The following is a 16289-nucleotide window of genomic DNA, read 5'->3' as shown; positions in this document are numbered from 1 at the left end:
CAAGGGGCCTAATAGAGTCTTGAACTTGAGGAGGAGCTCAGCTGGCTCTGCTACACTTATTAGCAGAAGACCTTGGGCAAATCACTCTCTTGAGATTCAGTTGTTTTCTTCAGTAAAGTGTGGAAACTTATTTCCTAGGGTTGTAGGAATGAAAACGAAATCATGCTGGCAAAAACAACAACAACAAACAAAAACAAAAACATTGTCCATCTAACATAACAAGTGTCTAGTTGCGTCAAGTGCTGGGGAAATGAAACTTCCCTGAGGTGTCTTTTACACTGAGCCTTAAAAGTTGGACTTTTCTGGATGAAAAGGAGTTGGGTGGCTTGAGCAGAGGCCCAGGTGTGTGGGGGACAGGCTTGAAATGTGGTGTCCCAAGAACACCAGGTGTGAGGCAGAGATGGCGCAACAGGATGGAGAGGCATATGTGGTCGGATCACAAAAGGCCACACACTCTGTCTGAGGCACAGGAAGACATCGAAAGCAAAGATCTAGAAAGATCATTCCGGTGGCAGTACAATGGATGAACAGGAGAAGACAGACTTAGAGTGGGACCAGAGCCTTTTAGCAACACGTACAAATGGAGAAATGCAAGAAGAAATGGAGTTCAGCCTGAAATTGTTTTTGGAGATGGTTAGGTGGAAGATTTAGACCAGGACAGATCTAGATAGGGAGGGACTGACTTGGTCTTAGATGAAGGATGTCTCTGAGGACCCTTGTTGGGGGATGCCTAGGAGGTTGGCAGTGCCCTCCAAACCATGTTGGGCCAGTTGGATTCTAGGGTGTCCACAGCAACATGGGACATGAGGCAGTATTTATTTGTGGGCATTATTATTATTATTTTTTTGAGATGGAGTCTCACTCTATTGCCCATGCTGGAGTGCAGTGGTGCGATCTCGGCTCATTGCAACCTCTGCCTCCAGGGCTCAAGGGATTCTCCTGCCTCAGCCTCCTGAGTAGCTGGGATTATAGACATACACTGCCATGCCTGGCTAATTTTTGTATTTTCAGTAGAGACGGGGTTTCACCATGTTAGCCAGGTTGGTCTTGAACTCCTGACCTCAAGTGATCTGCCCGCCTTGGCCTCCCAAAGTGTTGGGATTACAGGCGTGAGCTACCACGCCTGGCCAGTATTTATGGGCATTTTTGATAACCAGTGTGTGCCATTCATTTTTATCTCTAGAAAGCTATAAGTAAGCAAACACTGAGCTAGTTAGCAAGGTGTCTATGACAGCTCAGTGCTGCTGTCAAAATCACCTGCTCATTTGCTACTTTTCATTGTCACCTGGGGAGTAGGGCAAAATGGAAACTCCTTCAAGGCCATGCACAGTGGCTCACACCTATAATCCCAGTGCTTTGGGAGGCCAAGGCGAGTTGATGGCTTGAGGCCAGGAGTTCTAGACCAGCCTGAGCAACATGGCAAAATCCTGTCTCTACAAAAAAACCCCAAAACCTCAAAAATCAGCCAGGTGTGGTGGCACACGCCTGTAATCCCAGCTGCTCAGGAGGCTGAGATGGGAGGATTGCTTGAGCCTGGGAGGTCAAGGTTGCAGCTGCAGTGAGCCAAGATCACTCCTGCTGTACTTTAGCCTGGGCAACAGAGTGAGACCTTGTCTAAAAAAACGGAAGAGAAATGCTCAGAGACTGTAACATATTAATCTTTTTTACATCAATGGTAATAAGCAAACTGGCCAAAATGCTTAATCAACTTCTTGGCCAAGTTTAACCCCTTTTCATGCAACCTAGACCACATTTTAGGTGCAGTGAGTGTTAACCAAGGACAAACTGCTGCTCTTTCCCCACCGCCACTGAGTCACGGAGGCAGAGGCTCAGGTGTGTTCAAGAATCAGCTTCACCCATAACCCACCGCCATGGCCCAGGAAGGCATCAGTGCTGGAGGTGTCATGGACCTTAATACTGCTTTACAAGAGGTCCTGAAGGCTGCCCTCATCCATGATGGCCTAGCACGTGGAATTCGAGAAGCTGCCAAAGCCTTAGACAAGTGCTGGGCCCATCCTTGTGCTGCCCCCAACTGTAATGAGCCTGCCTATGTGGCTGGCTGGTGAAGGCCCTTGTTGCTGAGCACCAGATCACCCTAATTAAGGTTGATGACAATAAACTAGGGGAAGGGATGGACCACTGTAAAACTGACAGAAGGAAAACCCCATAAAGTGGTTGGCTGCAGTTGTGTAGCGTTAAGGACTATGGCAAAGGATGTCATCAAAGAGTTTTTTTGTTGTTGTTTTTTGTTTTGAGACAGTCTCTCTCTGTCACTAGGCTGGAGTGGGGCAGTGGCATGATCTTGGCTCACTGCAGACTCCACCTCCTGGGTTCAAGCAATTCTCCTGCCTCAGCCTCCCAAGTAGCTGGGATTACAGGCACACACCACCATGCCCGGCTAATTTTTGTATTTTTGTATTTTTAGTAGAGACAGAGTTTCACCATGTGGCTCAGGCTGATCTTGAACTCCTGACCTCAGGTGATCTGCCTGCCTCGGCATCCCAAAGTCCTGGGATTATAGGTGTGAGCCACTGCGCACGGCCCTTCTTTCATGTTTTAATTCAATGGAGTTTTGCATGTACTAAGTTTTCAAAAATACATGTTGAAGGAACATTTTTATCTGTACTCCGACACACACCCAATTGTCAAATTGTCTTCACAGCTCTCAGACTTATAGATTTAGAATCTCCTCAGGGACTTGATCTTAATTGAAGACAAAGGAGATCCTAAAGTGACTTTTTGTCCTAGTGGTCAGCTGGAATGTGGGAGGAACAATTTCAGCCCAAGAGCAAGTTGAAAGTTTTCTCGGGGAGGAGCCAAGTTGGCCGAATAGGAAGAGCTCTGGTCTGCAGCTCCCAGTGTGAGCGACGCAGAAAACGGGTGATTTCTGCATTTCCATCTGAGGTATCAGGTTCATCTCACTAGGGAGTGCCAGACAGTGGGCGCAGGTCAGTGGGTGTGCGCACCGTGCGCGAGCCGAAGCAGGGCGAGGCATTGCCTCACTTGGGAAGCACAAGGGGTCAGGGAGTTCCCTTTCCTAGTCAAAGAAAGGGGTGACAGATGACACCTGGAAAATCGGGTCACTCCCACCCGAATACTGCGCTTTTCTGACGGGCTTAAAAAACGGCGCACCAGGAGATTATATCCCGCACCTGGCTCGGAGGGTCCTACGCCCACGGTGTCTCACTGATTGCTAGTGCAGCAGTCTGAGATCAAACTGCAAGGTGGCAGCGAGGCTGGGGGAGGGGCGCCCGCCATTGCCCAGGCTTGCTTAGGTAGACAAAGCAGCCGGGAAGCTCGAACTGGGTGGAGCCCACCACAGCTCAAGGAGGCCTGCCTGCCTCTGTAGGCTCCACCTCTGGGGGCAGGGCACAGACAAACAAAAAGACAGCAGTAACCTCTGCAGACTTAAATGTCCCTGTCTGACAGCTGGGAGAGCAGTGGTTCTCCCAGCACGCAGCTGGAGGTCTGAGAACGGGCAGACTGCCTCCTCAAGTGGGTCCCTGACCTCTGACCCCCGAGCAGCCTAGCTGGGAGGCACCCCCCAGCAGGGGCAGACTGACACCTCACATGGCAGGGTACTCCAACAGACCTGCAGCTGAGGGTCCTGTGTGTTAGAAGGAAAACTAACCAACAGAAAGGACATCCACACCAAAAACCCATCTGTACATCACCATCATCAAAGACCAAAAGTAGATAAAACCACAAAGATGGGGATAAAACAGAGCAGAAAAACTGGAAACTCTAAAAAGCAGAGCACCTCTCCTCCTCCAAAGGAACGCAGTTCCTCACCAGCAACGGAACAAAGCTGGATGGAGAATGACTTTGACGAGCTGAGAGAAGAAGGCTTCAGATGATCAAATTACTCTGAGCTACGGGAGGACATTCAAACCAAAGGCAAAGAAGTTGAAAACTTTGAAAAAAGTTTAGAAGAATGTATAACTAGAATAACCAATACAGAGAAGTGCTTAAAGGAGCTGATGGAGCTGAAAACCAAGGCTCGAGAACTACGTGAAGAATGCAGAAGCCTCAGGAGATGATGCGATCAACTGGAAGAAAGGGTTTCAGCGATGGAAGATGAAATGAATGAAATGAAGTGAGAAGGGAAGTTTAGAGAAAAACGAATAAAAAGAAATGAGCAAAGCCTCCAAGAAATATGGGACTATGTGAAAAGACCAAATCTACATCTGATTGGTGTACCTGAAAGTGACGGGGAGAATGGAACCAAGTTGGAAAACACTGCAGGATATTATCCAGGAGAACTTCCCCAATCTAGCAAGGCAGGCCAACATTCAGATTCAGGAAATACAGAGAACGCCACAAAGATACTCCTAAAGAAGAGCAACTCCAAGACACATAATTGTCAGATTCACCAAAGTTGAAATGAAGGAAAAAATGTTAAGGGCAGCCAGAGAGAAAGGTCAGGTTACCCTCAAAGGGAAGCCCATCAGACTAACAGCAGATCTCTTGGCAGAAACTCTACAAGCCAGAAGAGAGTGGGGGCCAATATTCAACATTCTTAAAGAAAAGAATTTTCAACCCAGAATTTCATATCCAGCCAAACTAAGCTTCATAAGTGAAGGAGAAATAAAATACTTTACAGACAAGCAAATGCTGAGAGATTTTGTCACCACCAGGCCTGCCCGAAAAGAGCTCCTGAAGGAAGCACTAAACATGGAAAGGAACAACTGGTACCAGCCACTGCAAAATCATGCCAAAATGTAAAGACCATCGAGACTAGGAAGAAACTGCATCAACTAACGAGCAAAATCACCAGCTAACATCATAATGACAGGATCAAATTCACACATAACAATATTAACTTTAAATGTAAATGGACTAAATGCTCCAATTAAAAGACACAGACTGGCAAATTGGATAAAGAGTCAAGACCCATCAGTGTGCTGTATTCAGGAAACCCATCTCACATGCAGAGACACACATAGGCTCAAAATAAAAGGATGGAGAAAGATCTACCAAGCAAATGGAAAACAAAAAAAGGCAGGGGGTTGCAATCCTAGTCTCTGATAAAACAGACTTTAAACCAACAAAGATCAAAAGAGATAAAGAAGGCCATTACATAATGGTAAAGGGATCAATTCAACAAGAAGAGCTAACTATCCTAAATATATATGCCCCCAATACAGGAGCACCCAGATTCATAAAGCAAGTCCTGAGTGACCTAGAAAGAGACTTAGACTCCCACACATTAATAATGGGAGACTTTAACACCCCACTGTCAACATTAGACAGATCAACGAGACAGAAAGTCAACAAGGATACCCAGGAATTGAACTCAGCTCTGCACCAAGCAGACCTAATAGACATCTACAGAACTCTCCACCCCAAGTCAACAGAATATACTTTTTTTTCAGCACCACACCACACCTATTCCAAAATTGACCACATACTTGGAAGTAAAGCTCTCCTCAGCAAATGTAAAAGAACAGAAATTATAACAAACTATCTCTCAGACCACAGTGCAATCAAACTAGAACTCAGGATTAAGAATCTCACTCAAAACCACTCAATTACATGGAAACTGAACAACCTGCTCCTGAATGACTACTAGGTACATAACGAAATGAAGGCAGAAATAAAGATGTTCTTTGAAACCAACAAGAACAAAGACACAACATACCAGAATCTCCGGGACGCATTCAAAGCAGTGTGTAGAAGGAAATTTATAGCACTAAATGCCCACAAGAGAAAGCAGGAAAGATCCAAAATTGACAACCTAACATCACAATTAAAAGAACTAGAAAAACAAGAGCAAACACATTCAAAAGCTAGCAGAAGGCAAGAAATAATTAAATCAGAGCAGAACTGAAGGAAATAGAGACACAAAAAAGCCTTCAAAAAATCAGTGAATCCAGGAGCTGGTTTTTTGAAAGGATCAACAAAATTGATAGACCGCTAGCAAGACTAATAAAGAAAAAAAGAGAGAAGAATCAAATAGACCCAATAAAAAATGATAAAGGGGATATCACCACCGATCCCACAGAAATACAAACTACCATCAGAGAATACTACAAACACCTCTATGCAAATAAACTAGAAAATCTAGAAGAAATGGATAAATTCCTCGACACATACACTCTCCCAAGACTAAACCAGGAAGAAGTTGAATCTCTGAATAGACCAATAACAGGAGCTGAAATTGTGGCAATAATCAATAGCTTACCAACCAAAAAGAGTCCAGGACCAGATGGATTCACAGCTGAATTCTACCAGAGGTACAAAGAGGAACTGGTACCATTCCTTCTGAAACTATTCCAATCAATAGAAAAAGAGGGAATCCTCCCTAACTCATTTTATGAGGCCAGCATCATCCTGATACCAAAGCCTGGCAGAGACACAACCAAAAAAGAGAATTTTAGACCAATATCCTTGATGAACATTGATGCAAAAATCCTCAATAAAAACTGGCAAACCGAATCCAGCAGCACATCAAAAAGCTTATCCACCATGATCAAGTGGGCTTCATCCCTGAGATGCAAGGCTGGTTCAACATACGCAAATCAATAAATGTAATCCAGCATCTAAACAGAACCAAAGACAAAAACCACATGATTATCTCAATAGATGCAGAAAAGGCCTTTGACAAAATTCAAAAACCCTTCATGCTAAAAACTCTCAATAAATTAGGTATTGATGGGACGTATTTCAAAATAATAAGAGCTATGTATGGCAAACCCACAGCCAATATCATACTGAATGGGCAAAAATTGGAAGCATTCCCTTTGAAAACTGGCACAAGACAGGGATGCCCTCTCTCACCACTCCTATTCACCATAGTGTTGGAAGTTCTGGCCAGGGCAATTAGGCAGGAGAAGGAAATAAAGGGTATTCAGTTAGGAAAAGAGGAAGTCAAATTGTCCCTGTTTGCAGACAACATGATTGTATATCTAGAAAACCCCATTGTCTCAGCCCAAAATCTCCTTAAGCTGATAAGCAACTTCAGCAAAGTCTCAGGATACAAAATCAATGTACAAAAATCACAAGCATTCTTATACACCAACCACAGACAAACAGAGAGCCAAATCATGAGTGAACTCCCATTCACAATCGCTTCAAAGAGAATAAAATACCTAGGAATCCAACTTACAAAGGATGTGAAGGACCTCTTCAAGGAGAACTACCAACCACTGCTCAAGGAAATAAAAGAGGATACAAACAAATGGAAGAACATTCCATGCTCATGGGTAGGAAGAATCAATATCGTGAAAATGGCCATACTGCCCAAGGTAATTTATAGATTCAATGCCATCCTCATCAAGCTACCAATGACTTTCTTCACAGAACTGGACAAAACTACTTTAAAGTTCATATGGAACCAAAAAAGAGCCCGCATCGCCAAGTCAATCCTAAGCCAAAAGAACAAAGCTGGAGAGGCATCACACTACCTGACTTCAAACTATACTACAAGGCTACAGTAACCAAAACAGCATGGTACTGGTACCAAAACAGAGATATAGATCAATGGAACAGAAGAGAGCCCTCAGAAATAATGTCGCATATCTACAACTAGCTGATCTTTGACAAACCTGAGAAAAACAAGCATTGGGGAAAGGATTCCCTATTTCATAAATGGTGCTGGGAAAACTGGCTAGCCATATGTAGAAAGCTGAAACGGATCCCTTCCTTACACCTTATACAAAAATCAATTCAAGATGGATTAAAGACTTAAACGTTAGACCTAAAACCATAAAAACCCTAGAAGAAAACCTAGGCATTACCATTCAGGACATAGGCATGGGCAAGAACTTCATGTCTAAAACACCAAAAGCAATGGCAATAAAAGCCAAAATTGACAAATGGGATCTAATTAAACTAAAGAACTTCTGCACAGCAAAAGAAACTACCATCAGAGTGAACAGGCAACCTATAGAATGGGAGAAAATTTTTGTAACCTACTCATCTGACAAAGGGCTAATATCCAGAATCTACAATGAACTCAAACAAATTTACAAGAAAAAAACAACCCCATCAAAAAGTGGGCAAAGGACATGAACAGACACTTCTCAAAAGAAGACATTTATGCAGCCAAAAAACACATGAAAAAATGCTCATCATCACTGGCCATCAGAGAAATGCAAATCAAAACCACAATGAGATACCATCTCACACCAGTTAGAATGGCAATCATTAAAAAGTCAGGAAACAACAAGTGCTGGAGAGGATGTGGAGAAACAGGAATACTTTTACACTGTTGGTGGGACTGTAAACTAGTTCAACCATTGTGGAAGTCAGTGTGGCGATTCCTCAGGGATCTAGAACTAGAAATACCATTTGACCCAGCCATCCCATTACTGGGTATATACCCAAAGGACTATAAATCATGCTGCTATAAAGACACATGCACATGTATGTTTATTGCGGCATTATTCACAATAGCAAAGACTTGGAACCAATTGAAATGTCTAACAATGATAGACTGGATTAAGAAAATGTGGCACATATACACCATGGAATACTATGCAGCCATAAAAAATGATGAGTTCATGTCCTTTGTAGGGACATGGATGAAATTGGAAATCATCATTCTCGGTAAACTATCGCAAGAACAGAAAACCAAACACTGCATATTCTCACTCATAGGTGGGAATTGAACAATGAGAACACATGGACACAGGAAGGGGAACATCACACTCTGGGGACTGTTGTGGGGTGGGGGGAGGGGGGAGGGATAGCATTGGGAGATATACCTAATGCTAGATGACGAGTTAGTGGGTGCAGCGCACCAGCATGGCACATGTATACATATGTAACTAACTTGCACATTGTGCACATGTACCTTAAAACTTAAAGTGTAATAATAGTAATAAAAAAAGAGATTTAAAAAATTACCATAATGATTGACCTATTATCCTCTATGAGTCTCATCATCTGATAAAGATTTATTCTCAATTATATAAAAATCATCAGTTATTGTTAAATAAGAAACTCAGTATATGTAGACTCCTCCAGTTTCTTGGATTTACATATATAGTTTTAATTGTACAATATTATTGTAAAAGTTAATATCCTTTCAATGTATCTGATTTAAAATTACCACAGAGCATTGTGGGATTAAAGGAGTGCTGTGTCTAGGGAAAAAAAAAAAAAAAAAAAGGAAAGTTTTCTCATCTTTTCTGGTGACACTGTGGCTGACGGTATCTACTTTAAAATGGAAGTAAGAAAACTTTCAGGCAGGGGGCACCCGGATTTGAACCGGGGACCTCTTGATCTGCAGTCAAATGCTCTACCCACTGAGCTATACCCCCTTCAACTGTTAGAGGTTCCTTCCTTGTCCACTTATGGTGACTCAATACAATCAAGTTCCACCCACACTAGAGTTCTGGCAAGCTTTGTGTTCTAAAGCCCCACCTTCTTAATTATCCATCATCTGCTTTGGCTTGTCCCTTGGCCACTAATAAACTGAAAGGGAACACTTGAAAAATGACATCCTGGGCTGGGCACGATGTCTCACGCTTGTAATCCCAGCGCTTTGTGAGGCCAAGGTGAGGTCAAGAGTTTGAGATCGGCCTGACCAACATGGTGAAACCCCGTCTCCGCTAAAAATACAAAAAAAATTAGCTGGGCGTGGTGGCAGGCACCTGTAATCCCAGCTACTAGGGAGGCTGAGGCAAGAGAATTGCTTGAACCCTGGGAGGCGGAGGTTGCAGTGAGCTGAGATCACACCACTGTACTCCAGCCTGGGCTAACAGAATGAGACAATCTCTCTCTCTCTCTGTCTCTCTCTGTCTCTCTCTCTCTCTCTCCATATACGTATACATATATATGTATACATATATATGTATACATATATTTATATATAGTATACATATATATGTATACATATATTTATATATAGTACACATATATAGTGCACATATATGTAGTGCATTATATATAGTACACATATATATAGTACACATACATAGTGTGCGTGTGTGTGTGTTTTGTAAAGACAGGGTTTCAGCATGTTGCCCAGGCTGGTTTCAAGTGATCCACCTGTCTGAGCTCAAGCAATCCTCCCATCTCAGCCTCACTTCGGCCTCCCAAAGTGCTGGGATTACAGGCGTAAACCATGGAGCTTGGCCTTTGCTCTGTTCTTGATGGAAACAATAGCCAGCTCTGACCTGGGGCCCTGCTGATAGCTGGGGAAGTGCGTTATTGAGGTTGAGCAGTGTGGCTCCTTCTTATCCCACTGGCAGGGGAGAACTGAAGCCTCTCCTTTCAAACCTGGCACTCGTTGGTATGGAGTGCAAGGGCGTGGGCCTGAGAAGCCCTTTCTCTTCTCACCTCCTCTCCAGGGAGAAGAGAAGCTGAGAGTAGAACTGGCTCCTTCCTCCAATCTCAGGGAAGAAACAACACACTTGGAGACACAATTTTTTTTAATGTAAAATAACATTGAGAGTTCATCTAAACATCTGTCTTAGAAATTCAGGTCAAGGGAAGAGATGCTGTTAGAACAGAGGCAAGTGGGTGACCTCTCCAAAGATGGACGTGCTCCAACAGAGGGCTAGGGTGTTCCCGCGATAGCCAAACCTTCCATTGAACCCATTGACCGGTTTCAGATCGGTATTGTAGTTGTCATGACCAGTCACCTGCTGGAGAGGATGCCCTTGGAGGCAAGGAGAGAGAAGCCTGAGCCTGCATTCAGTCCATCTCTTGGCTTCCCCATTCCCCTGGGTGTGGTAAGGGATGCCAATCAGTGGTAGTCACCGAATTCCCCATGCGCACAGCCAACATGCAATCCTCAAATGTCCTGAACCTCTGAGCTGAAGAACCAAGGGCTGGTGAGGTTGAGGGACAGAAGGCTTCCTAGAAATAAAACGCCGCACCAGGAATAATTGTATGAAGACCGTGAATGGTTTGTGCTGGGACAGGAGGGGCTGGAAATTCTGGGCTTGGCAGAGCTTGCCTTTCTCCCATGAGAAATGAGAAAACTCTCACCCTGTCTCTGACCCATGTGTATGAGATCAATATCAATTGGGCCAAATGGTACAAAGGATCATGTAACTAGAGGAGTGGCCCAGGATGGTGGAGTTGGGCTGGGAGGAGGGTTTACCCTGTTAGAAAAATATTTCTCAACTCTTTCCCATTGTTGTTAACCCGGGCCTGGAAGATGAGCAGGATGCAGCAGTGATGGTAACAGGGGCTTCAGAGTTGGGAAGAGCGGAATCTTAATCCCAGCTCAGCCCTTCTTGCCAAACCACTTTAACTCAAGAAACGCGTTTCCCCAACTGTGCCAGAGGGTTAATGTGAGGGTGAAAAGTGCCTAACAAATGGCTCATGTCTGTAACGCCAGCACTTTGGGAGGCTGAGGCCAGAGGATCACTTGAGCCTAGGAGTTCAAGACCAGCCTGGGCAACATAGGGACACTCCATCTCTACAAAAAATAAAAAGTTAACTGAGAGTGGTGGTGCACACCTGTGGACCCAATTGCTCAGGAGGCTGAGGTGGGAGGATTGCTCAAGCCCAAGGAGGTCAAGACTGCAATGAGTAGTAATTGTGCTACTGCAATTCATGCAATCCAACTTGGGTGACAGAGTGAGACCATGTCTCAAAAAAAAAAAAAAAAGCTTTCAGAAGTTTCATATTTGATAGTGTTCAACAGAGCAGTTTATTATCCATCTGTGTGGGACAAAGATCTGTAAACCAATTTCTAGGTTAAGAGAGATGACTTCAATTTTCTTGCTAAGAAAGCTGTCTGGATGTGGGATTTGATCATGAGTTCATCTGAGGATTAGATAAATCAGATGGATAGCTGGCATGTCCTCCATTCTGGGCCAGAAGCTGAGTGAGTCGAGCATGAGGCTGGGGCAAGGAAAGATCCAGCCAAGTTGTAGAGCAGGACAGGCTTTGAGTTGCAGGGGCAGTACATGGGGGAGGCTCTGGTCAGAGGGTCAACTTAACAAATGGCCTTTCTGAATGTTCATTTCTTTATCTGCAAAACCATGCTACCTGTGAGTGCCCAATCCTGCCTGCTTAAGCCACATAGTTGTTGGAAAATAATAAATAGCAAATGAGGGAAGGTCCAAACAAATAAATAAGTAGATAGAGACATTTGTGAATGATTAAGTGTTATGCAAATTGATGAATTAGTTGATTTGCATTTCTATTCAGCATTTGATGAATAGTTATTCTGGGGCAGATGTAGAGCTAGAAGCTGATGAAGGACCGTGAATGTAGGTAGCAAACTTTACAGTATGTATATTCTACAAGGTGTGGGAAACTGCTGAACGTTTTTGTTCAGCCAAATGGCCTAATAAACAATGTTCTTTCAGGAAGATAAGCTGGTGGCCATGTGAGGACTGTGACTCTATCAATTCTGTTTTCTGAATTGCTCCTGAATTTGTTCCCTCCTTTCTAGTCCTACAGACACTGCTGTAGTTCATACCTTAGCATTTCTTATATGCAATAACCTCCTAAATGGTCTTCTTACTTCTAGCCTTGACTGCTTTAATTCATTCTCCTTATGCACCTAGAGAATTTTATCCAATTATTTCATGGCTTATGCATTCATTTATTTGTTCATTCACCCAGCATTTATTGAGCTCTATCATGCCTAAGGCCTTGGGACCATGGCAGTAATATTTGCTGACAGGTAGGTCTTAGCACATTGCTGCTTCCTATCCCCAATATAGCGAAGTGAAGACCTCTTAGCATGTCCCACAACACCATTGATCAGCCTCTTACCATTCTCATGGCTCAGCATTCTTTTCTCTGCCTTACAATCTTTTTGCATTCTATATGCTATTTGCTATTAAAGTGGCAAGAAGGACTCTAGGATAAAGATTGAGTAAAATTGTGCTTTGGAGATTTAATAGTGAGGTAAGCTTGGGTAAATCACTTAGGCTCTCTGTTTTCTTACTTGTAAAGGTTGAGAATTATAAAGCATACCTTAAACATCCAGTGTAAAAATCAATGAGATACGGCATGTAAATTGATTAGCATGGCATCCTATATCAGTTAGGTGTGTATTTGGTGATAAGTAACAGAAAATCTGACCATTGATGTTTAAACAAATAAATATGTAACAAGAGACTGAAAGTAGTTTTTGATGTTGATTCGGTGGCTCACAAATGACAGAGCTGAATTTCTTGACCTTTCCCTCATGCTGGTTACCTCATAGTTATAAGATGGCTGCCAGAGTTCCAGACTTCACATCTACATCCAAAGTGGAAAGAAAGAGGAAGGGACAGTGCCTGCCATGTTACTTCCCCTTTTATCATGAAAGCAAAGCAAAGCTCTACTAGACCTTGAATGGGAAGTAGCAGACTTCCTATTAGATTATTTTGTACAGAAACAGATCGTATGGCCTTCTCCAACTGCAAGGGAGGTTGGAAATTTAGAGAAAAAAAATTTCCAGATTGGTTGAGACAAATCATGATTTGTCACTTGAGGATGAGCACGATAGCACTCCGAACAAATCTGGAGTCCTGTTAACAAGAAAGAAAAGTGAATAATATTCAGGAGCAATTCTTAGTGTTTTCCCCCGAAATGTCATGCATGTGCATATCCCTAGGCATTTGCACACGGTATTTCATGTTGGCTACAACACTCTCCTCCCATACTGTACCTATACAATTTTGTATCATTTTTTTTCAATATCAGAAGCAATTTTCAATTTTGTCACTTATTCAGTATCATTATTTTTAAAGGATACACAGGGGTCCATAACTGGTTGTAGCGTGGTTTATTTAACCATTTTTCAATAATTGGACGTTTATGTTGTTTCAATTTATTATTATATAGGGGGGGAAATTTGGTTTTGTTAAGTTTGTGTTCTTGGCCATACATTACACAGATTATCTCATTCAAACCTTGAAACATTTCCTTATGGTAGGTATTATTCTCATTCAGCAGTCACAGATATCTAGGTGCAGAGGAGTTAGTTTGCCCTAAGTCCTACAGCTAGTGAGTGGCAGAGTAAGGATTCACAGGAAAGATGATTTAACTGCCACGCCTGGGCTTCCTCACTGGAATCCACGCTGAGATGGACACAGTGAAAAGCCACAGCCACACTGAGGTGTGTATCAGACCTCTTACGACCTTGCAGCTTCCCCATCTCTATGGCTTTTGGGCATCTACTCCTGAACTGCCACTCCAGATAGACCCTGTCCAACTTCACGGGAGCACAGCCTATTGCACTTCACCTCCTGCTCCCGGGTTCCTTGTTGAATCTGGGGTGTGAGACACAGTGGGACCCTCTCAACATCCACACACGTGTAACCTGGAAGTATGAAGGAATTAATGCCTCATAGGGCAAAACTTTGACCAATGGGAGACGGAAGCTATGGAATAAAGTCTTCACCTCACACTCCCACCCTTCCATGGACACCTTAAGTCACAGTCATGCTATGGCCTTGGAGAGGCCGTCTAGTGAGATCAAGCAATCAGTCTCACTTAATACCTAGCAATGGGGAGCTCAATAAGGCACCCCATGTTGGTTCTCCTCCTTTCTTGCTTCCTTTGCCTTTTTCCTCTCGTCTGTTTCCCTGATATTACACCCTTTAATAAAGTAATTGCACATAAATATTTGCAAATTCAGCCCAGTTTTCTGGGCAGCCCAGGCTAAGACAGTGCATAAAGTTTTTTCATTATTTGGGCTGATTTCCTTTTGTTTAAAAAGCTTCCTGCTGTTGGGTTACTGAGTTTAAAAGTATGAATAGTCCCCATGCCTTTGAGAACATTACAACAGCCTTCGAATCTACCCAGCTCTGGCCCTTGGGTCACCCCATAGATGATTGTGGGGTCAGACTGCCCCATTCATTACTGACCCAAGGGCAAAGCTAAGGTCCTACTGGCAATGACTCACAGAAAAGGCTGTAAATAGGAATGTTTATGACCACATTTATACAACCAAAGTTGGTTCGATGATAATGTATGGAAAAATAGAATCTTTGTTGAAATTTTAATTCCATTTGGGTATGTGTTCCCAAGAGAAAGAAAACCTGGGCACACAGCCTTAAAGAGTGTGCTGGACCCTGGTAATTGCTCTAATTACCTGTGACTGATAACTTGGACAGCTCCTTGTGGGGACTGCTTTTGAATTTGCTCAGAATCACAGACTTTCCAGGAGAATCCAAGTATCAGATACCTCAGTGGGTAAGAAATGGTCATAGTCTAGGCCCTAATAAGAGTCCAGGGGAAGGCTTTCAGTTGTTCAGGTGGGGCCTGTAAGGTGTGTGCAAAATAAATTATAACAGTCTTCAAATTCACCCAGCCCTGGCCCTTGGGTCAACCCATAGATGACTGTGAATCAGAGCGGCAGGCCCCACCCAAATCACTGAAAGCCTTCTCCTGCACTCTTATTAGGACCCAGGCAATGAGAATTTTTTACTCAGGGAGGTGTCTGGTATTTGGTTTCTCCTGGAAAGTCTGTCATTATGACTGAGCAAACTCAAAAGCAGTCCCTGCAAAAAACTGTCCAAATTATCAGTCTCTCTTCAAATACGTCCTTCTGGGGCTAGACAGATTCCAGACCCATCTGTCTGCCCCAGAAGCCTGCTACCTCTTCCTGGCTTTTTTGGGCCCTGTCTAATGGACTTCTGATTATATCAGTCGCAGAGTGAGCCTGGTTATATATGAGGAAAAGAAATCAGCAGGGAACACTCGCCTTATGATGCATAGAGAATGAGCTGCTCGCTGGAAATGCAAATTTTGAAGGATGAAAATCTCACTTCTGAACACGTAATGGTCTCTAATTAACTCACAGGTAATTAGAGCAATTACCAGAGGCCAGCGCACTTCTTAAAGCTGTGTGCCCAGGTTTTTTTTCCCACTTGGGAACATATACCCAAATGGAGTTAAAATTCCTCTTCAGCAAAGATTCTATTTTTCCATACATTATCATTGAACCAACTTTGATTGTATAAATATGGTCATAAATGTTCCTATTTATAGCTTTTTCTGTGAGTCATTGCCAGTAGGACCTTAGCTTTGCCCTCACCTCAGTAATGAGTGGGGCCAGCCTGTCAAGGTGTGTGTAACAGTAAGCATGGTGGCCTGAGGAGTTCTATGTGGTCTGTGAGCTGCTTGCTTCCTCTTTGCTTCTCCACTGACTTCCACCTTGTGTCTTGATTTCTTCTTGGTGTCCTGATGAGTCAAAGTCCAGTTCCCAGTCTTCTCACTTCATCCAAGAGTTGTGGCTTATTCCTAGCTTCTTGGGAGAAGAGAGGGAAAGGAGAAGGAAGAGATGGCCTCCTCTCACTGGCCGGTTCTGAGCAGAGAGTGGGTTGCCGGGATGTAAGCTCCTCAGGGTGGATCTTATAAATATGGTCCCCAGGAAGACCTCA

At 43.4% G+C, this 16289-nt stretch overlaps 1 non-coding gene and 1 pseudogene across 1 annotated transcript; one reads left to right on the top strand and one right to left on the bottom strand.

Moving 5' to 3' along the window:
• RPS12P25 (ribosomal protein S12 pseudogene 25) lies at positions 1872-2255 on the top strand (annotated as a pseudogene).
• On the bottom strand, positions 9194-9266 carry TRC-GCA5-1 (tRNA-Cys (anticodon GCA) 5-1). Its single transcript has one exon. It is a non-coding gene; the product is annotated as a tRNA-Cys (tRNA).
• Positions 9267-16289: the final 7023 nt, after the last annotated feature.

The sequence above is a fragment of the Homo sapiens genome, chromosome 15, assembly GCF_000001405.40.
Source record: "Homo sapiens chromosome 15, GRCh38.p14 Primary Assembly".
Taxonomy (NCBI): domain Eukaryota; kingdom Metazoa; phylum Chordata; class Mammalia; order Primates; family Hominidae; genus Homo; species Homo sapiens.
Note: the sequence above shows the minus strand (reverse complement) of the source record. Positions and strands in the feature narration are given on the sequence as shown.